Source organism: Homo sapiens, chromosome 6, assembly GCF_000001405.40.
Source record: "Homo sapiens chromosome 6, GRCh38.p14 Primary Assembly".
NCBI classification, from domain to species: Eukaryota; Metazoa; Chordata; class Mammalia; order Primates; family Hominidae; genus Homo; species Homo sapiens.
This window is the reverse complement of record NC_000006.12, coordinates 52,378,769-52,402,921: the sequence shown is the minus strand read 5'-3', so window position 1 is coordinate 52,402,921 and position 24,153 is coordinate 52,378,769. Positions and strand designations below refer to the sequence as shown.

The 24,153-nt window shown below is 41.9% G+C and overlaps 1 protein-coding gene across 1 annotated transcript in view, besides 4 other annotated features; it reads right to left on the bottom strand.

The window, feature by feature from the left end:
- Window positions 1–24,153, bottom strand: part of PAQR8 (progestin and adipoQ receptor family member 8) — a 45,627-nt gene that overhangs the window by 4,856 nt on the left and 16,618 nt on the right. The gene's annotated exons all lie outside the window — the stretch shown is intronic.
- Window positions 4,374–4,433: an enhancer, noted in NCBI's record as "active region_24678". NCBI's record gives its function as "activates an Ori minimal core promoter by ATAC-STARR-seq in GM12878 lymphoblastoid cells {active_cell/tissue: GM12878}" and the evidence as "EXISTENCE:reporter gene assay evidence [ECO:0000049][PMID:35858748]".
- Window positions 11,508–13,992: an enhancer, noted in NCBI's record as "VISTA enhancer hs2064". NCBI's record gives its function as "enhancer in: hindbrain (rhombencephalon)[5/8] | midbrain (mesencephalon)[5/8]" and the evidence as "EXISTENCE:transgenic organism evidence [ECO:0001131][PMID:17130149]".
- Window positions 12,657–12,866: an enhancer, noted in NCBI's record as "active region_24677". NCBI's record gives its function as "activates an Ori minimal core promoter by ATAC-STARR-seq in GM12878 lymphoblastoid cells {active_cell/tissue: GM12878}" and the evidence as "EXISTENCE:reporter gene assay evidence [ECO:0000049][PMID:35858748]".
- Window positions 16,628–16,737: an enhancer, noted in NCBI's record as "active region_24676". NCBI's record gives its function as "activates an Ori minimal core promoter by ATAC-STARR-seq in GM12878 lymphoblastoid cells {active_cell/tissue: GM12878}" and the evidence as "EXISTENCE:reporter gene assay evidence [ECO:0000049][PMID:35858748]".

Below are 24,153 nucleotides of genomic sequence, written 5' to 3'. Positions count from 1 at the left end.
CTGTTGTTGTAGAGACAGGGGTGTCGCTATGTACAGCAGGCTGGGCCCAAACTCCTGGGCTCAAGCACTCCTCCCTCCTCAGCCTCCCCAAGTGTTGAGATTACAGGCGTGAGCCACCAGGCCGGCTAGGATCCGTGGTTATTTTAATGCAACGTGGCTTTCTGGTACAGTAGAGGAAGCAAGGAGCTGCAGACAGCTTCTTTGAGCCTCCTTTAATTCATCTGTAGAATAATGGAGTTGGACCAAGATCCCTTACTGTCCCAATATTCTTTTTTTTCTTTCTTTCTTTTTTTTTTTTTTTTTTGAGACAGAGTTTCACTCTTGTTGCCCAGGCTGGAATGCAATGGTACCATCTCGGCTCACCACAACCTCCGCCTCCCGGGTTCAAGCAATTCTCCTGCCTCAGCCTCCCAAGTAGCTGGGATTACAGGCATGTGCCACCACGCCTGGCTAATTTTGTATTTTCAGTAGAGATGGGGTTTCTCCATGTTGGTCAGGCTGGTCTGGAACGCCCGACCTCAGGTGATCCGCCCACCTCAGCCTCCCGAAGATTTTTTTTGAAACAGGGTCTTGCTCTGTCGCCCAGCTGGGATGCAGTGGCGCAATCTTGGTTCACTGCAACTTCCGTCTCCCGGGTTCAAGCAATTCTCCTGCCTCAGCCTCCCAAGTAGCTGGTATTACAGGCATGCACCACCACACCCAGCTAATTTTTATATTTTTAGTAGAGATGGGGTTTCACCATGTTGGCCAGGCTGGTCTCGAACTTCTAACCTCAAATGATCTTCCCACCTCATCCTCCAAAAGTGCTGGAATTACAGGCGTTAAGCCACCATGCCTGGCCTGTCCCAATATTCTATGTTTACTACACTCAGTGTGAGGCAAAGTTACATCTTGTAAAATGGAAATGTTAGCTACCCTAACATAATTTAGTGATACCAATGACTTAATGATTATCAAGATTTAATTATAAGTAAGGTAACCTTTAAAGGATATGGGCTTTTCTCGATATTAAAATGTAATAAACAGGCTTTAATAGCATGAAATATCATATTGAAGTATAAGAATTACAAATATTGATATAGCTAATGATAGACTGTATTTCTTTAGCACCTACCTAATCTTAAACTATCCACTAATTTCACTGGTACTTTGAAAATATGAGGTGAGCAACTGACTAAGCCTCATATTTAAGACAGGCAAATTGACTCGTCAGTTAGGTTGGTAAAGAACAATGCACATTCTAGGATATCCTAACAGTTAAAATTAACATGTGACCTAAATTTAACATAAAATCTCATTGCAAAGACTGTTGTTCATTTTTTAAATTATGCTCTGAAAAGCAAGTAGTTTTAGATTTGCTTCTCTTGGGTAATTAAAACTGCACTCGGTGAATTTCAGGCTTCAGAAATGCTTAACTTACACTTGTATTTCTCAGTGACAGACGAATACAGCAATTATTTCATAAAATATTTCATGAAACTGCTGCAAAATTTCATCTGAAGTTGCTAGGTAAAGAAATAGATTTTGATCATTTCTAGTTACCTTATGTAATTATGTTTCCCAAGCTTTTTTCTTCAGAAAAATTTAATATCTGATTTATCTAAATGGAGCACATACAGCAAGCACATACAGCAAGTACTGGAGCACATACAGCAAGTACTGTTCAAGGTGCTTACTAATTTTAGCAAAGAAAATGTAATTCCTACTCATACGTCTCAATCAATATTGGAAGAGAAAAAATACCTAATCAGGTAAAAAAGTGTAGGGCATGAAAATTAATAAAATGTAAAGAAGTTCAGGGAGACCTGGAGTCAAGCTCCAGTTTTGCCACTTACTGGGGTGACCTTGGGCAAGTTATAGAATTCTCTCAGCCTCAGTTTCTTCATAATTCTATATATTATATGGGTTGTGTGATAGTTAAATGAGAGGGTCTAAAAAATGAAGTGCTTAGCACTCTGCCCAGCCCAAGGTAAGTGCGTAGTAAATGTGAAATATTGCTGTCATTTTTATTGCTATGAGCTGGGCTCTGTGCTAGGTACTAGGTACTAGGGATACAAAGACTGGTAAGATACACTTCCTGCCTTCAAAGAGATCAAAGTTTACTGGGGAGACAGACATGTAGGGGAATCAACACAAAAATGTGCAATAAGTGCTCCATTAGAGACAAACACTGGTTCACAGAGGTCTCAGCAAACAACCAAAACAGGGAAAGGATGGGGGTATAGCCCTCTTGAAGTGACCCTGAACTGAATCTTGAAGGAAAAATCAGAATTCCTGAGAAAAGATAAAGGCGGAAGAGACTTCTAGGCAGAGAGCAAGGTCAAAGAACTTCTGCCAAGATATGGGCTTGGAAAGCCTGGAGTATCTGAAGTCATTGTAGTTTGCAGTTATGACATTGGTGCCAGAGAGACCTGAACTCACATCCTGAGCCCCACCATCAACAAGCTGCATGAATCCAGCCTGAGCTTTGTTATCTGTGGAGTAAATGACAGAGAAGCTGCCTTACAGGGCTGAAAAAGAACTATATGACATAATGGCTGTAAAGTGTTTAACAAAGTGCTTGGTTCCAAGTCTGCATAACTACTTGCCATTATTATGACCATCACTGATATGAGATGCAGGAATCATTCATGAGTTCAGGGCCTAATGTCCCCTCCATACCTTGAACCTATTTCTATGGCAGCCCCTGTAACCCTGTATTGAGGCATTCATTTAGCCAGCACCCATCAGACAGTGGTCTTCTACCAGGAATGGGCTATGAACTCAAGCTCAATGTAGGAATTAAAGACACCAAGAGAAGTGTATTAAGGATTACAGTCAGCCAGAAAGAGAAACACAGAAAGAGGGAGTGTGGGAGAGAGAAAGAAAATGCTAATTAGAATACCTGAATTCATTTGAAAACAAAAAGAAAAGAAAAAGCTAAGTGGTGCTTCTGCTATCAGCCAGCAGAGGGATCCGAGTGCCTTAGAGTTCAGTTCTGGATGGAAGTTTCTCCAACTGACCTTGGTGGACGAACTACAGGAATGGGCCTGGGATGTGGGATAACTTCTCAAGTTGCCCTGTTGCTGTTAGCAACATATAATCTGGGGGTGCTGGGCTTGTTGGAGTTCTGGGGAATTAAAGTGCTCTATTCTTTAGATATAGTCTTCTACTACCTCTTGTGAAGTAGAGAGCAAACCAGATGAAATTACCAGTCTGATTTTATGGCTGGGAGAAATCAAGGTGAGTCACTGGGTATAACCCCAGTGACTATAGAAGAAGGAATCCCCAAAGATGCTCCCAGTATCCCTGTCTGCATGCTGTCTAAAATCAAGGCTATTTCTCTCATCTTTGGGAACCCAAACCAATCAGACGATTCCTGCATCCAGAGTTAAATAATATATAACCACACAATTCCTACTAATCTTCATATCCTTAAAATAGCGTATCCATCACATAGCAGGTTCTTATAAACTGACAACTCAACTGAATTTCTAAAGACTAAAACTTTGGGTTTTAGTAGTTTAGCGATTGGAAGAGAGCACAATTCAGACCTGGGAACTAACTGGCATCTGTCTGTTCTGAGGGAGAAAGGACGGAACATGATACTGCCTTATTATTGGTCTGCAGAAGACCATGACTGCAGAGCTCTGACAGTTCCTTCTATTTCTCATATCACCAGCCTCCCTCATGACTTTATGTTGACAAGTTATTTTCTGGAAATTATTTCTACTTCACTCTTTCAGAAAATAAACTAGGAAGAGATTTATAGAACTAAGAAGCAGAGAGGTACAAGTCCAAAGGGATATTAACTTTAACTTCAAAAGAAAAGGTGCACAAGGGGAGAGAAATTGGCAGAATCATCATTTCCCTTACAAATGAGATCTTTAAAATGCAGCCACAGAGATCTCAGGGTCTTCTTAATAACTCCACCCCCTGGAGTGTGTAACCCAATAGCCACAAAGGAACCTGAGAGTCCAGGGATACAACCACCATAGGCTCTAACTCAGAATATGATTCCTTACCTCTCAGGAATGAGAGGGTTGCAAAGATCTGTCCTCTGAGGGTAAAAAGGGCTTAAATTTCCCAGCCAGGGACAGTGGCTCACGCCTGTAAATCCCAGCACTTTGGGAGGCTGAGGTGGGTGGACTGCTTGAGGTCAGGAGTTCGGGACCACCCTGACCAACATGCTGAAACACCATCTCTACTAAAAATACAAAAATTAGCTGGGCATGGTGGCCGGTGCCTGTAATCCCAGCTACTAGGGAGGCTGAGGCAGGAGAATCACTTGAACCCAGGAGGAGGAGGTTGCAGTGAGCCGAGATCGTGCCACTGCACTCCAGCCTGGGTGACAAAGCGAGACTTCATCTCAAAAACAACAACAAGAAAGGACTTAAATTTCCCTTTGGTAGTGCAAGGTCATGAAAAATTCTAAGGTCACGCATGGTGGCTCACACCTGTAATCCCAGCACTTTGGGAGGCTGAGGTGGGCAGATCACCTGAGGTCAGAAGTTCAAGACCAGCCTGGCCAATATAGTGAAACCCCGTCACTACTAAAAATACAAAAAATTAGCTGGGTGTGTTAGCAGGCTCCTGTAATCCCAACTACTCAGAAGGCTGAGGCAGGAGAATCACTTGAACCAGAGAGGTGGAGGTTGCAGTGAGCCAAGATCACGCCATTGCACTCCAGCGTGGGCAACAAGAGTGAAACTCTGCCTCAAAAAAAAAAAAAAAAAAAGAAAAAAGAAAAGAAAAATTCTAAACTTGTGGTCAGAAAGAGGGTTTGGGTTGTTTTCTTTTTTTCTGTCATTTCCTTAGCAACCACCTCTTCCTCTGCCATGAAATTCTCCCTTTGAGAGCAGCTAACACAGCTACAAAAATGGTACCATGAGTTATAATTCTTTTATCATCATTAACTTCAGAAACCACTGTCAAGTGGGGTCTGCCCCCCTCCCTCTTAGGCCTCACTTTCACCAAGCAGGTATGGGCAATGCTTCCATGATTCAAAGGACCAGCTGTAAAATTTGAGCCCGTTTTGGAGGAAACCACATATTGTCATCATGATGTTGAAGCCTCCCAGCCTTCCCAGGTGGCTGCACTGAGTAAGAGAGCCCCTCCCTCACTTCTGGCCTCTGTTCCCACACCCTCCTACCTAACCTGATGTGACTATCAGCTGACCAAGATTCTACCTTAGAACAATCTCCTTTGCACAGGGTTCACTCCAGCTCCTGGACAGCTGAAATTTAAATCTTCCTCAAGAATTTTTATTAACTGGATAATCTCAAGTCTTGTAATTTTGATCAACCAGAAATCTTTTTCAGAGCAAGGATTATCTATTCAACACTATTCCAGGCTACAAAGGCCGCAGAGGAAGAATACAATAAGACCCTTTACCTCAAGAAGCTTAGAAGAGTCAAACTTCATGAATCAACAGCCAACAACACCAGATGACACACATAAACAAGTGTAAACTAGAGCGAAATACAAATAGATCTATAGAAGAGAACAAACTCGGAGTATCCTGGGGCAGCGTTGGGGGGAAGTGGGCTTGTGTTAGCCCTAGAAGGCTGGATAGAGCTCAGACAAGTGAGAATTGGGGCATTCTAGCAAAGAGGCAAAATAAGAGCATAGGAATGGTATGACTTCCTGGTAGGTCTGTGAGCAGAGGGGCTACTGGGGAGTAATGAGGAAGGGAGTGGGCTAGGTGCAGTGGAATTAGTGAAAGTTTAGGTTTGATGTTACAGAGGAAATGAGAGTCATTTCTCTCCCGTGAAACTATTACCCTGTTTTAATGCTTATCTCTCCTGAGCTCTGCAAGGATTCCCAATGCTAACCAATGCCTCCTCTCTTGGCTTAAGTGACAATGACACTACCCTCTCTGGCCCCACCTTGGCTTTCTTCTCCCACCATCCCTGTCAATTGTGGTATCTGCCCCCTTTTCACCATCCACAGTGCCTCTCAGACAGGTACTTCTCCCAGGCCCTTAGCTTCAGCTACACCTGTATCCGCTGATTTCCAAATTTGCCTCCAACCAGATCTTTTCTGAGGTTTGAATTAAAATATCCAACTTCTCTAGATGTGTCCAAAAGAATGTCCCCCATGGGCACTTCAGACTCATCTCCAGACATTTCCTTCAACCCAGACTTGACTCGTCCCCTACATCTAATCAGAATCGAGGTTTGCTGATTTTATCTCAACATTTCTGGAAGCCATTTGCCCTTTCCATTTCTACTGCTCTCCCTTAATTTAGGTCTTCAAAATTAACTTATGTTAATGATGACAATAGCAGTCTCATAACTGACCTTTCATCATCAATAATGGCTCTCCTAACTCACATCCCCAACCCTCACTTCATTCTCCAAATCACTTCAGGGCAACAGTTTAAAAATGGAAATCTGATTATCATTCCCTCCTCAAAATTCTTCAACAGCTCACCATTGTTTGTTTACAATACAAATTCTAAGCCCTAATTATTCAAACAGATCCTTTCTCTGTTTTCCTTCCTATTCCAGCCTCCTCTCCCAGAGCCCATACCTCTAAGGCCAATTTGTTGGCCCAGATCTTAATACTCTTAATACTGGGAGTTCTTGACACTCTATCTCCCATGCATGCAAACTCAGTACCCTCTAGCCCAGCAACTCTGGGTCATTTTCAACACTCTAACTAGAAGTCGGCTCCACCAGGAAGCTTTTCTTAACTCCCAGACTGGCTTAGGGCTCTCTCCAGCCTTCATTAGACTCTGGCCTTGCCTCTCCCAGTTTTCTTCATTCATGGAGCTGGGTTCGTTTGTTTACTCCACTTACTTTCCCATTAGCCACCAGCTCCTTTAAAGGCAGGGACTGTTAGGTGCAGAAGTCCCCATGTTGAAAATAATATCTGGCATATAGAAGACACCTTATAATTATTTACTGAATGAACAGTTCTTTAGGCCCAGGCTCATGGCACCAATTTCTTTCTCTTCTGCAAAGGTGAAGGAAAAAAGAAGTAATGGTTTGGGAGTCAGGAAGTCTGGCTATTAGTATTTGCTCTACTCAGGTGTGTGGCTATGCCTAAGACAATCAATTACTCAGTGTCATTGTCCTCATAAAAAAGGGTGGGTGGGTGAGAGGAGGTGATTTCCTGTCTATCCACTTTTTAGGAAGAAAACAGAATGAATAATAACAAAATGGTCAGTAATGGAATAGTACTTTCAAGAGGCAAAACATGTACATAAAGTCCTAGTAATATTTCAAATAAAGAGCCCACTGAAGGATATAACTTAGTAAAAATAAATCTATCCACACGTATTTTCTACCTTATAATTGATTTTAATGCAATTTTTTAAAATCAAAAAGGAATATTATTTGTTTTGTAACACTCCTGGGAATCATCATAATACTGCCTCCCTGGGTCAGGTCTGGGCTGAAAGACATGTTTGAAAATGTTGAGTTTGAAGTGCCCATGGAGGACATTCATTTGGACACATCTAGAGCAGTGGGATATTTGAACTCCCCTATCTCCTTTAAGGATTTTTAATTAGAGTCAGATTATAATGGAATTGGAATTAAAAGTTCTATTTACTGAGTATATGTACCATGAATTCACTTAATGTTTATAAGAAAGTGTTAAAAAATGTTGAATAATGCCTTGCATTATGTAGGGATCTAATCTTTTTTTTTTTTTTTTTTTTTGAGACGAAGTCTCGCTGTGTCGCCCAGGCTGGAGTGCAATGGCGCAATCTTGGCTCACTGCAACCTCCGCCTCCCGGGTTCAAGCAATTCTCCTGTCTCAGCCTCCCAAGTAGCTGGGACTAAACTGCAGGTGCATGCCACTATGCCCAGCTAATTTTTTGAATTTTTAGTAGAGACAGAGTTTTACCATATTAGTCAGGCTGGTCTCAAACTCCTGACCTCAGGTGATCTACCCACCTCAGCCTCCCAAAGTGTTGGGATTACAGGCGTCAGTCACTGTGCCCGGCCGGGATCTAATCTTAAAAATTTATCTTAGAAGCGCCTTTCAAATTTTTTTTTTAATGGAAAGAGAAAAATGGGGTAAAAATCCCAAGTTCATGGTTAAAAATCTGACATTTTAGCCAAAAATTGTGCATTTAGGTGTTCTTTTTAAAAGTAAATCACAGAACTAAGCTAAATACAGATGTTCCTTGACATATGATGGGTTATAGCCCAGTAAACCCATTGTTAAGTTGAAAACGTCTTAAGTTGAAAATGCATTTAATGCACCTAATCTACTGAACGTAACCACTCTTAGCCTACACTACCTTAAATGTGCTCAGAACACACACTTAGCCTACAGGTGGGGAAAGTCATCTGGCAACAGAGGACACCGTAGGGTACTGGTTGTTTTGAGATCACATGGCTGACTGGGAGCTGCAGGTTACTGCTGCTGCCCAGAATTGCTAGAGTATTTCACCACCTATCACTAGCCTTGGAAAAAATCAAAACCCCAAATGCAAAGTATGGTTTCTATTGAATGTGTATCACTTTCACACCATCCTAAGTTGGGGATCATCTGTATTCTTAAGGTTTGGTTTTGTTTTCGTAGTTCTGACTGATGGAAACTACCTAAAATGCATTTCCTTTTCAGTAACTTTCAATAAAACAATGAAATGACACGTTTTTGGTGATAGTTGTTATCCCCTGAAAACACAGTAAAAATACGTGAAGTACCCATAAAAGACCATTTAACTTTCAGAGAGGAACTATATCGATAAGCAGAGCAGCACCTGGGCACGTCTCCTATCACCTGAGAAACAGGTGTAACCGTGTCACTGCACTCACTGCTCCTGGCCAACTCCTCCATCTGCTGGGTTCCCTCTCATTGGCCCCTGTCTGAATTTGAGTCCTTATTATCTCTCACAGGAACCTCTGTAGGATACAGGAGGCCTTCCTGGTCCCCTACCTGTGCGTCTCTTTAACTGTCCCCAAAGCATCTCCCACTCTGACACTTTGTGTTCCAGTTATTCTGCCATCCTCTCAGGACTTTGTGCTTCTATGCATGCCTGGAATGCCCACACCACTGATGTCCACTGGCCAACTCCTACTCATGCTTCATGTCCCATCTCAAATGGTCCCTGTGAAGGCTTCCCCTCAGGTGCTCCTTCACCTAACTGCCACTGCACTTAAAGTCCTTCATTATAGGACTTTCCTTACTGTATGCCTACATGGTTTGCATTATATGTCTCTCTGACCACTAAACTGCAAGATCCTTTGAGGGCTGAGAATATTTTTATCATTAGCATTGTGCCTATCACATTGATATTCCAAGAAATCACTGAATGAACGAATGAATGAATGAATGGAAAGTGTCCAAATCGACCAGGTACAGTGGCTCACACCTGTAATCCCAGCACTTTGGGAAGCCGAACGGGGAGGATAGCTTGAGCCCAGGAGTTCAAGACCAGCCTTGGCAACACAGCAAGACTCTATCTCTAAATTTAAAAATTAGCCAGGCATGGTGGCGCACACCTGTAGTCCCAATTACTCAGGATGCTGAGGTGGGAGGATCACTTGAGCCCAGGAGATTGAGGCTACAGTGAGCCATGGTTATGCCACTGCACTCCAGCCTGGACAACAGAGCAAGACGCCGTCTCAAAAAAAAAAAAAAAAAAAAGAGAGAGAAAGTGTCAGAATAATAGTATCAAACACTTATATGATGTTTAGCACATACCAGACAGTGTTTTGGGTGCTTTGAAAATATTAACTTATTTAAACTTCCCAACAATACCTGACACCAGTACTATTATCATTCCCATTTCACAGATAAGGAAACAGTTACAGAGAGATTACATAACTTGTCCAAGGCTGCACAGTATGTGATAGATCCAGGAGGTGACTAAGCAGTTGACTCTAAAGTCTGCGTTCTTAACCACTATGCCTCAAAAAATGCCCTCTATGACTAAACCCCAATATTTTTTGATATACAACTTCAAATATGCTGCTGCAATACTGCTTTGCTTCATTAACAAAAATAACTTGCAGTTGGCCTTACAAAAACAATCAGTACTGCAAAGTTTCTCAGATCTTTGACACTGAGTTTACTTGTAAATCAGATTCCAATACTCCCTAAGAGAATAAAATGTGACTTCCACAAAATCTGAGTGGAATCTATCAAATAATCCAAATAGGTCTATTAGCCCAGATAAATATGATCATAAATCTGATGGGCTTCTTTCATATTAAAGAGACACATGGTTTGTTGTGGCTAGCTTTACAGAACTGGTGTAGTGAGACATTCCAATCATAAACCTGAGGTCATTTATCAGCCTACTAATGGAAAGCACAATGACAATGAGATCACTAAATCTGCTATGCATATAGCAAGCTACCTAAAAAGCCTTTCCCAAATTAACAAAGTGGGGAATTAAAGAAAAGCTCCATATTTGGGAAACTGGCATTGTTTGGTACTGAAGACATTTTATCTGGATGACAAATAGAAGCACTCCAAAGCAATAGTGTTTCCTGACCTATTACAAGGATGCTATGTGAATCTACCACAAACTTGGAATAGCTGATTCCCTGGAAAGAACACTGGGCAAGAAATTAGAAGTCCCAATGTTTAGTTCTAGCTCTATCACTATGTGACACTTTTTTTTTTTTTTTTGAGATGGAGTCTCGCTCTGTCACCCAGGCTGGAATGCAGTGGCGCGATCTTGCCTCATTGTAACCTCCGCCTCCTGGGTTCAAGCAATTCTCCCGCCTCAGCCTCCCGAGTAGTTGGGACTAAGGGCGCACACTGCCACACCCAGCTAGTTTTTTTTGCATTTTAGTAGAGACGGGGTTTCACCGTGTTGCCCAGGCTGGTCTCGAACTCCTGAGCTCAGGCAATCTGCCCGCCTAGGCCTCCCAAAGTGCTCTAAGTGATTTTTAAGCAAATTATTCAACCTCTCTATGCCTTGGTGCCCTTGTCCTTAAGATGGGGGTGTAATCTATATAAGCTCTAATACTGTAAAATTCTGTAATTCATCTGGGCTATGTTTTGCTTTGTACTGAACATCAAGCAGCATGCTGGAATCACCAACAAACAGATCCTGTGACATCACTTCATGTCACTGTGTGTGGGACTCACACAGATGGTAGGAAAGTGACCTGCTGGTTGTTGGATAGAGGACAAATGAGCAGCAATTCCTATCAAAGGCAAAAGAAATGCTTCCAGAATTCACAGAAGCCCAGCTTCACACATCACTGCATAATTATAAATGGCTGCAAAGGAATAGCAGCCAAAATGACAACTTGGTGTCCATTTATAAGGACTGGAACTGTGCTTTAAGCAGCCTTTGAGCCAGAGGTGGAGTTGGAAACAGTCTCACATGCCTCAGGATCTCCATAGTCGTTAAGTGAGAGAACTCTGGGCTCATACTGATCTTTATAGCTACATCTTCCAAGGAGCATATCACTATTTGTAAAGTCATATTTGAAAGAATGGCACTACCAGTGCAATCCTGTTATTAGCAGAGATCATTTGAACATCGATTCAGATTCACCAATGGTCAGTGCATATTTCCTCCCTATATTTAACAAAACCTAACAAACAGAATTTCGACATCCAAAAATGGAGTATTTGATTGTGTAAATTAAGATAAATCTATAAAATAGAATACTATGCACTTATTAAAATAACTAGCATATTTACATTTATTGTTATACAAAGATACACATGATATGTGAGCTCCATTGGTTTTTCACTGTAGTCTCCACTGCACTTAGAAAAGTGATGGACTAGCACATTGTACATTCTCAAAAAAGATTTCTTGAATGAATAAATGAGTCAAAGACATGTAAAGGAAAAAACAAATTTAAAGTATGTGTTCCGCCCAGCCCTATTTTTGTAATCATACAAACATGGTACAGATGAAGTATGGAAGTGCATATAATCAAAACAATATAGCTATTGCCATGAAGGGATTGTGGGGAATTTTACTTTTCTTCTGGAAATACTATCATTATCGTACTTTTTAACAACAAACATTTACTACTTTTGTAATTGGAAAGCAAAAGTTAGTACTACTCTGCAAATAGGAATATTTGACATAAATATGCAAAAATTGGTAAAACCTAAGTTGGTAAAATATTAAGACCCTCCCCAAGAAACACCCCAGCATTATAAAGGAATACACCCATACTTGCATTTTTCTGTGAGCTCAACTAGTTAGCATACCAAATTAATTATTACGAGTAACCTAACTATACTTGCCATAGGGTAAGCTATTGGTCATGGGGGGTTTAAAGGGAAAAAAATATGTAACATCTACTGTTAATGCAGCAAAGATGTTCTCTTAGATTGGAAAAGCCAGTATACACAATATTGTCAAAAGACCTTCCCCACAGCACACAAACTCAAACGGCATTAATACGTGAGTCACTTCCTGACCATGTGGGTTTGTGGTACGGCTGAACCGTGCCTATAAAAAAAAAGTAAGGTACACCTTTTTGCCACAGATCTGGCAGCAAGATGTGTCCTTCTGGGCTCAGTGAGCTCTCCACTTATGAATCTTTTCCTCTGTGGTGCCCTATAATATTCCTAAGAGGAGAAAGAAAAGACAGCCTTAATTTGTTGCTGTGCCCTGGGAAAGATGAGCAGAGCAAATTTCCTCTGAGTGCCTTTTTCTCTTTATCTAACTAGAACCCTCTAGCTAGAATTTCTGTCTGTTCTGTCACTTCCTATACTTTCCACATCTCAGCTAATCTCACTTGAGAAAGTACTGGTTTCAAAATGCATCATTACAGACAGAGAATGCATCTGCCACATGGAATAAATAGTATCTGTGTTTAATCTGTCGAGTGGGAGAAGTCAGAGGAGCTGGGAACAATTTACTGGGAGAACACACTGAGCAGTCTCCAGGCAATCAACAGTTCAGGTGTGAAGATCATGTTCTTCTGAGGCTTCTTGTTTGAGTAAAGGTAAACTTTGCTGTCTGAAACTCCCACTAATTAAAGCCTAGGGACAGGTGTCTCCCTGGACTTTCTACATGAGTGTAACTATCGGCTTCGTTAGGTGTGGTTTGGCTTCAGTCAGGCAACCTCTCAACTAGATCTAGCTTCTCACCGGCAGGAAGCTTCATCACTGATCTGCAAACCAGCTGGGACCCGGGCCAACCCGGGTGAACGTGAAGAGAGCTGCTCATTTCCACTGGCAGGAAATCAATCTTGGAAATGCCCTTTCCACAGCAGAAAATCAGATAACAAATCGAGCTAGAGTTTGGAGCACCATATAAAGAAAGCTGTGTTCCCTAGCAATTAAACATTAACTCTTCTGCAGTGACAACAGTACACTCTCCTGGTGGTTCTAAGACCCAGCAATTTTATTTGCTATAAAGAGTCAAGCAAGTCACTTTATTCTTCATTTCTCCTTAGATATCTCCAAGGCCTTAGTTCAATTCCAAATCACCACAAAGCCTTCTCCAGGCCATCTTGATTCCTCCCCCGCCCCCAACCCTTATCTATCTATTCCACATATTTTGGTAAGGAGAACATCAGGCTTGCCCATTACTTCACTACTGTGTGTGTAGAGAGCCTTCTCTCTTCTGCTTATTGAATTGCAAGCCTCTGGAGACAGGAACACTGGCTTACCTATGCTTTATTTCTATCAGCAAACAGTCAGAGGAAAGATGTCCCCAGAATGTGTCAATAGATCATTGTTCAAAAACAAAGTGAATGACTATCCTTTGCCTGCTTCTAAAGGTAAAAACCAGTGAGATCTAAGAAAACGAAAATGTGGGTTTTCAAAAGAAAACACCATTTGAGTTGGATCTTATTTATTTGTGTGGTTCATCCACTTGCTAGGTATCCGCACCAATATTTAAATTGCTGGCTGAATTTCTAACCATCAGCTTGTTTTTGGTCTATCATCTCCTACCATTTGTCATTTTTATGACCAAGAATGCCTAAGCAAAGACTTAGGAAAAGGAGGGGCCAGGCAGAGAAACATAATGTAAAATAACACTGGAGCACTGTTAGAACTCGTTTTTATTCTTGTTGCATACAAAAGGCAGAACAGACTGTCCTGATTGCCTGAACAAGCCACACACTTGACATCGCCAATGTTATTGTAGCCTGCTGTGCCTGGCAAAACCCACTTCTCTCTCAAATTCAGGCTCAGATATAACCCCTCCCCTGTGAAGCTTAGCGACAGCCTGAAGTAGAACTCATCATGTCTTATTAAGCCCTCTGTCTTTGTCCATTCAGGGTGCTGTAAGGAAATATCAAAGACTAGGTGGCTTATAAACAACAGAAATCTATTTTTCACAGTTTCTAGAGGCTGCAAAAGTCCAAGATGAAGGCACCAGCAGATTTGGTGTCCAGTGAGGGCCCACTTCTGGTTCAAACATGACTGTCTTCTTGTTATGTCCTCACATGGCAGAAGAGGCAAGGGAGCTCTCCTGAGTTTCTTTTATAAAGGCAGTAATACCATTCATCTAGGCATTCATCTAGGTCAGTGGTCCCCAACCTTTTCAGCACCAGGGACCAATTTCATGGAAGACAATTTTTCCACGTATGGGGGCTGGGGGTTGAGGAGTATGGTTTCATGATGATTCAAACCCATTACATTTATTGCTTTTTTTTTTTTTTCCTGACACAGGGTCTTGCTCTGTTGCCCAGGCTGGAGTGCAGTGATGCCAACTCAGCTCACTGCAACCTCCACCTCCCAGGCTCAAGCCATTCTTGTGCCTCAGCCACCCAAGTAGCTGGGATTACAGGCATGCACCACCACACCTAGCTGATTTTTGTATTTTTAGTAGAGATGGGGTTTCGCCATGTTGGCCAGGCTGGTCTCAAACTCCTGACCTCAAGTGACCCGCCCACCTTGGCTTCCCAAGGCGCTGGGATTACAGGCATGAGCTACCGGATCCAGCCTATTTCTATTATTTTTACATTATAATATATAAGGAAATAATTATACAACTCACCATAATGTAGAATCACTGGGAGCCCTCAGCTTGTTTTACTGCAACTAGACGGTCCCATCTGGGGTGATGGCAGACAGTAACAGATCATCAGGCATTAGATTTTCATAAGGAGAGTACAACCTAGATCCTTTGCATGTGCAGTTCACAATAGGATTGGCACGCCTATGAAAATCTAATGCTGCTGCTGATCTGACAGGAACTCAGGCAGTAAAGCCAGCAAAGCAGAGCGGCTGTAAATACTGATGAAGCTTTGCTTACTCGCCCACTGATCACCTCCTGCTGTGCAGCTCAGTTCCTAACAGGCCACAGACAGGTACTGGGGGTTGGGGGATCCCTGATCTAGGTGATCACCTCCTAACGGCCCCACCCCCTAATATCCTTACATTAGGGGTTAGGATTTCAACATATTAATTTGGGGAGACACTTCAGTTTATAGCATCCTCTTAGCATTATGCTATAACTGGCTATACATGTGTCTTCCTTTATATTAAATTGTGAAATTCATTGGGTTGCATAAGGAAGTTATTCAAAATATTTTTTCAAAGATTTTAGCTTGTGTTACTTGATTGTGAGAATAACTGAGGTACACTGAATTTAAGTGACCTATTCAAAGCCCTAAACCAAATCAACAATAAGGTATGGGCAGACCCCAATAATTCTGACCCGTGTCCCAAGAGTCCAGCCAACTGACTGCGTCTTTGTGAAAGAACATCTATCAGCTGTGAATGAAAAGGAAGTATTAGATGAGAAGATAGTGCTTGTCCATCTCTGAGCTGCTGATGGACTAGGAATCCTGGCTCACTGTAGTGACCCAGGAGCACTATCCAGAGCCTTCTCTCCCAAGACATCCCATCAGGGCTCTTTCCTAAGGGCACCCCTGAAGACCCTGCTCCACTTCCCAGTGTGGCCTTTTCTGTAATTAGAAGTAGTAATTAATAATCAGTTGCAGAGAAGTGAGCCAAGATTGTGCCACTGCACTGCAGCCTGGGTGACAGAGTGAGACTCCGTCTCAAAAAAAAAAATCATTAGTTATTCCATAGAAGAGCTTCATTTGAAAAGTCAATCTACTCAGTTCAGATCAGTAATTGTAAACTATCACAAAGCTACAGCTTTCATCTCCATGATATTACAATTACCTACCTGCCTAACCTGTAGTATCTACAAAGGTTGTGATTGTTTATCACTCAGAATTACTTCATTTTAAAAATTTTTCAACTTTTCTTTTCTATTCAGGAGGTATATGTGCAGGTTTGTTACAAGAGTATATTGCATGATGCTGAGGTTTGCGGTATGACTGAGTCCATCATCCAGGTAGTGAGCATAGTACCCAACAGGTAGTTTTTCAACCTTGCCCCGGTCCCTCCTTCTCCCTTCTTGTAGTCCTGTGTCTATTTTTCCCTTCTCTATGTCCATGTATACCCAATGTTTAGCTCTTACTTATAAGTAAAAACATGTGGTATTTGGTTTTCTGTTTCTGCATTAATTCACTTAAGATAATGTTGCTGCAAATTCTGTTTTACAGCTCCACAGTATTCCATTATGTGTACATACCACAATTTCTTTATTCAATTCACTGTTGATGGGCACTGAGGTTCATTCCTAGGTTGATCTTTGCTATTTTTGAATAGTGCTGTGATGAACATATGAGTACATGTGTCTTTTTGGTAGAACAATTTGTTTTCCTTTGAGTACATACCCAGTAATGTGGTTGCTAGGTCAAATGGTAGTTGTGTTTGGTTCTCTGAGAAATCTCCAAACTGCTTTCTTCAGTGGCTGAAATTAATTTACATTCTCACCAACACTGTATAAACGTTCCCTAACCTCTGCAGCCTCACCAACACCTGTTATTTTTTTTTAATTTAAATAATAGCCATTCTGACTGGTGTGAGATAGTATCTGGTTGTAGTTTTGATTTGCATTTCTCTAATGATTAGTGATGTTGAGCATTTTTTCATATGTTTTTGGCCACTTGTCTGTCTTCTTTTGAGAAGTGTCTGCTCATTTCCTTTGCCCACTTTTTAATTGAGTTGTTTTTTGCTTGGTGATTTAAAGTTCCTTATAGATGCTGGATATTAGACCCCTGCATAATGTATGAATATTTTCTCCCATTCTGTAGGTTGTCTGTTTCCTCTGTTGAAAGTTTCTTTTTTGTTTTGAGACAGGGTCTCACTCTGTCACCTAGACTGGAGAGCAGTGGTGTGATCATGGCTCACTGTAGCCTCAACCTTTCCAGGCTCAGGTGATCCTCCCACTTCAGCCTCTCAAGTAGCTGGGACTACCTGCGCACACCAGATGCCCAGCTAATTTTTTGTATTTTTTTGTAGAGAGTGGGGTTTCACCATGTTGCCCAGGCTGGTCTCAAACTCCTGGGCTCAGGCAATCTACCCACCTTGCCCCCCAAAGTGCTAGAATTCCAGACATACGCCATGGTGCATGGCCAATAGTTTTCCTTTTGCTTTGCAGAAGCTCTTTAGTTTAATTAGGTCTCACTTGTCAATTTTTTGTTTTTGTTGCAGATGCTTTTGAGGACTTAGTTATAAATCTTCCCCAAGGCCTATGTCGAGAAGGGTACTTCCTAGATTTTCTTGAAGGATGTTTATAGTTTGAGGTCTTACATTGTATTAGTCTATTTTCATGCTGCTGACAAAGACATACCTGAGACTAGGTAATTTATAAAGTAAAGAGGTTTAACTGACTCACAGTTCCACATGGCTGGAGAGGCCTCACAATCATGGCAGAAGACGATGGAAGAGAAAAGGGATGTCTTATATGGCAGCCAGTAGAGAGAGAATGAGAGGGGTTTCCCCCTCTCAAGTGAAAGGGGTTTCCCCTAATAAAACCATGAGATCTTGTGAGACTTATTCACTACCACGAGAACAGTATGGGGGACACTGCCCCCATGATCCAATTATCTCCCAACGGGTCCCTCCCACAACACGTAGGCATTATAGGAGCTACAATTCAAGATGAGATTGGGTGGGGACACAGCCAAACCATATCATACATTTAAGTCTTTAATCCATTGTGAGTTAATTTTTGTATATGGTGATAGGTAGGAGACCAGTTTCATTCTTCTGCATATGGTTGGCCAGTTTTCCCAGCACCATTTATTGAATAGGATATCCTTTCCCCATTGTTTATTTTTGTCAACTTTATCAAAGATCAGTTGATTGTAGGCGTGCAGCTTTATTTCTGGGTTCTCTATTCCATTGGTCTGTGTGTCTTTTTTTGTACCAGTACCATGCTACTGTAGCCTTTTGGTTACTATAGCCTTGTAGTATTTTGAAGTTGGGTAATGTGATGCCTCTGGCTTTGTTCCTTTTGCTTAGGATTGCTTTCACTATTTAGGCTCTTTGTTTCCATATGAATTTCAGAATAGTATTCTTTTTCTAACTTAGAATTATTTTAGCTCCAAGATTTCAGGTTTGAAATTCCTCCTCCTTGATTACAACACTCCTAACTTCCACCTGTAATATTTCATCACACCTGCTAAAGATACTTTTTGGGTGTCTCATAACCTCTAGTCTCTCAACTCTTCTTCTCTCAGTGACCCATTGCATTTGGACTCACTGCCATCCCAATACAAACCCAACCCAGTGCTAGCCATTTCACTCTGCCCTAACCAGCACTCCTCACCCTCCACCCGCCACACCTTTGCTAGGTCTGCCTGCCTGGCCCCACCTTGATTACACCTTTCATTTTTTCCCTCACCAGGTACTGTGTACTGCTATAGAAAGCCATAGTACATTGTGAAACCATTATGCATTCCTTTTAACCTCAGCCATGGCTTCACTACGTATGTGTAGATGTCCCCATCAGCACCTTAAACATAGTGTTTAAAACCAAATTTCTCCTGATATACATAGTTGTTATTGATGTAACCAATCTCTCAGGCATCAAGCCTTGAAATCAAGAGTGAAATTTGTCTCATTTCCCTCCCGCTTCCCTGAAACCCCAGTCATCAAATCCATATTATCTGTATTATTTTTAATCACAGCAAATGCAAAACCTGTCCCTTTTTTTCACTTCCCCTGCAGACCCATACCCTGTTCCAGTTACACTAATGGTGATAACCTCCTGACTGATTTTGGATCATCCAATCTCTGGCCTCAGTTCCACCTTTTTTGATTTAGCTAAAGTTTAGCTCACATAACATGCCCCAAAGCCACCAGTGGGCCTTTCCTCTTTGCCAACTAAAGCTTACATTCCTGAGCCTGACCGTCAAAGCCTTCCAGGACCTAGCCTTTATCTGCATCTGTAAGCATCAACCACTGCTTGATATCATGCAGAATAAAAGAGCAAATATTAACATGTTAGAGTACATCCAGTATATTAAGGATAAGTACTGTCATGGAATTCCTGGTTTTTTTTTTTTTTTTTGAGACGGACTCTCGCTCTGTCGCCCAGGCTGGAGTGCAGTGGCGGGATCTCGGCTCACTGCAAGCTCCGCCTCCCGGATTCACGCCATTCTCCTGCCTCAGCCTCCCAAGTAGCTGGGACTACAGGCGCCCGCCACCACGCCCGGCTAATTTTTTGTATTTTTAGTAGAGACGGGGTTTCACCGTTTTAGCCGGGATGGTCTCGATCTCCTGACCTCGTGATCCGCCCGCCTCGGCCTCCCAAAGTGCTGGGATTACAGGCGTGAGCCACCGCGCCCGGCCGAATTCCTGGTTTCTAAAATAAAATGTATTTCTTGCCAAGGGTCATGTTAAGGTTTGAGAATCACTGTTCTATACCATTTGCTATTCCTAAACCTGAACTGTGACTTTCTCCTTCATTTTTATATTATGAAATATTTCAAGTATGTAGAAGAGTGTAGAGAATAACGTAACATTTATCACGTTAACGTGATGTCTACTTTAGATCTTAAAATAGATATGTACATAGTATATGTGTTTATATGTGTCTATAAATATATTAGTGTATCTATCTGTTTGTCCTCTTCTCTCTAAAGCAGATACAATTACCTGGGCATAGTGGCTCACACCAATAATCCCAACACTTTGGGAGGCTGATCACTTGAACCCAGGAGTTTGAGACCAGCCTGGGCAACATAGGGAGATCCTGTTTCTACAAAATAACTTTTAGAAAATTAGCTGAGCATGGTAGTATGTGCCTGTGGCCCCAGCTAAGGGGGAGGACTGCTTGCTCCTGGGAGATTGAGGCTGCAGTGAGCCATGATAGTGACACCGCATTCTAGTCTGGGTGACAGAGTGAGACCCTGTCTTAAAAAAAAATGGATTCAACTGAAACGTAGCTTCCTATGTCTACCCATTCCCTTCCCACCCTCCCCACTGGCAGTCTCTATGCATTGTGGGTGGTTTTCATTCCCACTGTTTTCACATGAAAACATTTTGAAATTATAGTTATATCTACATATAATGATACAATAAAACCACATGAAATTTATAAATAAGATTTTTTTGGATATTTTTAACCTTGATACAAATTTTGTACCTAACATTCTTCTTTCATTTAATCTACGTTTGTGTTTTTCCACATTAGTTGCTATTCTCTAGTTGACTCATTTTCTTTGCTGACTACTTCCACTGTATGAATATACCACAATTCTTTAGTTCATCCTCCTGTGGATGGACATGGAGGTTGTTTCTAGTGATTTGCTCCGACACCCTAGGCTGCAGTCTAGTCTTGCCCATGTCTTATTGGATATGTATATGACTAGAAGGGGATTCCTTTATAGACTTTTGCCCAGGTTGTTGCCTTTACCTGGAATAGCTTCCTGTCAGAAAACCTTATCTGTCCCTGAAGGCACTTCTCACATGCCAATTCTTCCATGACTTCCAACTCACCTGGTCAAAGCAATATCTTCTTCCATCCATTCTCCTGCATCCTCCAGTTTGTATCACTTAAATGATGCTACCATATACAACCTTGTTCTGTAGTTACCTGAGTATTCCCAAGTAGGCCATAAGTTTCTTATGGGCAAGTATTGTGTTGTATGGTACCTCCCTGCTTAGACCCTAGCACAGATTTTTGCCAGAGTGGCCCCTCAACAAACATCTGTTGAATCCACTAAACTCTCCTTTTGCTACCAAGTACTGCTATCATTATCTAATGATATATATCTTATGACAATAATATACACCTAATGGCTGCTACATTCTCATGTGTTATTATTTATGTATTTTCATGGGGCTCTCTAATGTATGTGGGAGAAACTAAATGTTTAGGGTATACCCTGAGCTCAACAACCAGCTGAGGCTAAATGCCCATAGAGAGCTGTGTATGCATAAAGATAAAGGAAAATATTTCTCCTCCTTTCTTGTTAAATCACCCAAAATATTACATTTATGCCAGTAATTTTATAAGAATTGTGTTCAGAACTAAAAGAAATCAAACATTGGGTGGATAAGAATGTTAACAAAAATTGGAGTAGGGGGCAATTTCTGAGATTGGTGCTGTGCTTTTTTTCTTTTCTTTTGAGATAAGATCTCACCCAGGCTGGAGTGCAGTGGCACAGTCATAGCTCACTGCAGCCTCAACCTCTGGGCTCAAGCTATTCTCCCACCTCAGCCTCCTGAGTAGTTGAGACTACAGGCACTTACCACCACACCTGACTAATTTTTATACTTTTTGTAGAGCTGGGGTTTCACCATGTTGACCAGGCTGATCTTGAACTCCTGGGCTCAATCATTCCACCCGCCTTGGCCTCCCAAAGTATAGGGCCTACAGGCCCGAGCCACCGCACCCAGCCATTGCTGTGCTTTTTGAATCCACCAATGCTTGTTGCCATTAGTGTAGAAAGGACTTAGAGAGAGAATCCGTTTCCTCTTCCCCCACCTAGTTCCTGTCACCTTAGCAATTATTCTATAAATGTGGCCTGGCAAGAGAGTTACAAACAGCCATGTGTGTTCTGAGTTGCTGCTAGTGTTGTAGCTTTAGAATTCTTGACCAGAAGACAGGATTGGGGAAAAGCAAAGGTGCCTGTCCATCCATAGATATTAATTTCCCCACAAAGTTCAGTGGGAGGAGGAGGGTGGGGGAGATTTTTTCCTGTTCCAAAGTAGAGATTTATGCTCAGTATACTTCTTTTTATTAGACCTAGAAAAATGAGGTTAAGAAATTATATGTGGAAAAATCAGTTCAAGTATCCAAGGATGCAAACCTCTTTCAGTTTGTTCGTGAGTACAAAGTATTGGCTTAAATGATAGCAAGTTGATACCTGTTTATACCAGCCTCATAAATTTGTAATAAAACATGTCCAGGTCACAGGATTTTTATAAGCAGCTCACCATTCCATGCCATATGATCCATCAAATAAAGAATACATGAAGTAAGGATTTTTAAGCTGCCCTCTTTAAGTTGACAGGAAGGTCAGTTGAAGCCTGGAAAATCCTAGTCTTAATGAAGGCGTTTAAAACTCATATTGAAAAATGTACGTTTTCTCAGCTCCCAAGGCACCACAACTTCTCAGGACAAACAACAACATGCAAATTTTGGAATAACTAAAGAAATCAAACCCTTGGTGTTTGTTTCTAGGTTATAGGTTGATTTTAGAAAAGGCCACATATAAGAATAACCATTTGTCCTTACTGTAACATAACCTCAAGTCTCAGATGATATCTGATTATAATCTGTGAAGTGCTACCTGACTGCCTGGATTGTTTTTCCAAATGAGTTGAAATGTCCACGTCCACAGCTGCCCACGAATATGTACTTTAAAAGATATACACAGCTTGATTATTGACTGAGCATTGCCATACCACGGGTGGACCCTGGCAGATTTAGACACAGATTTTAATAGTAGCCAAGAGACAAACAACTCCTTCCAGTCTTTGCTCAAATCTCACCTCTTCAAGGAGGCTTCCCAACCACCCTATTGATTTAATACCGCATTTCTACTCTCCCTGGCATTCCACAACACCTAACTCTGCTCTACTTTTTCTTTGTTTTCCATAGTACTACTTATCACCTTGTGACTTAACATGTTATTTTCTGCTCACACTTTAAAAAAATCCAGGCCGGGTCGGGTGGCTCACGCCTGTAATCCCAGCACTTTGGGAGGCCAAGGCAGGTGGATCTCATGAGGTCAGGAGTTGAAGACCAGCCTGGCCAACATGGTGAAACCCCATCTCTTAAAAATACAAAATAGCGGCCAGGTGCGGTGGCTCACGCCTGTAATCCCAGCACTTTGGGAGGCCGAGACAGGCGGATCACGAGGTCAGCAGATCGAGACCATCCTGGCTAACACGGTGAAACCCCATCTGTACTAAAAATACAAAAAAATTAGCCGGGCGCGGTAGCAGGCGCCTATAGTCCCAGCTACTTCGGAGGCTGAAGCAGGAGAATGGCGTGAACCCGGGAGGCGGAGCTCGCAGTGAGCCGAGATCGCAGCACTGCACTCCAGCCTGGGGGACAGAGCGAGACTCCATCTCAAAAAAAAAAAAAAAAAAAAAAAAAGAAAGCTGGGTGTGGCGGTACGCACCTGTAATCCCAGCTACTCGGGAGGCTGAGGCAGGAAAATCACTTGAACCCAGGAGGCGGAGGTTGCAGTGAGTCGAGATCGCGACACTGCACTCCAGCCTAGGCAACAGAGCGAGACTCTGTCTCAAAAAATAAAAATAAAGTAAAATACCTAACATAAAATTTACCATCTTACCATTTTAAGTGTACAGTTCAGTAGTGTTAAATCAATTCACAGTGTTGTGCAACCGATCTCCAGAACTCTTTTCATCTTGCAAAACTGAAACTCTGTATCCATTAAACAACTCCCCATGGCTCCCTCTTCCCAATCCCCTGGCAACCGCCATTCTACTTTCCGTCTCTATGAATTCAGAGAACACTACTCTAGGTCCGTTATATAAGTGGAATCATACAGTGCTTTCCTTTTGTGACTGGCTTATTTTGCTTAGCATAATATCCCCAAGGGTCATCCATGTCATAGCATGTGCCAGAATTTCCTTTTTTTTTTTTTTTTTTTTTTGATAAAGAGTATTGCTTTGTCACTCAGGCTGGAGTGCAGTGGCACGATCTTGGCTCACTGCAATCTCTGCCTCCCACGTGCAAGCAATTCTCCTGTCTCAGCTTCCCGAGTAGCTGGGACTACAGGCGCCCACCACCATGCCTGGCTAATTTTTGTATTTTTAGTAGAGAAGGGGTTTCACCATATCAGTTAGGCTGGTCTCGAACTCCTGACCTCAGGTGATCCACCCACCTCAGCCTCCCAAAGTGCTGGGATTACAGGTTTAAGCCACCATGCCTGGTCAATTTTCTTCCCCCCCTTTTTTTTTAGACAGAATCTTGCTCTGTCG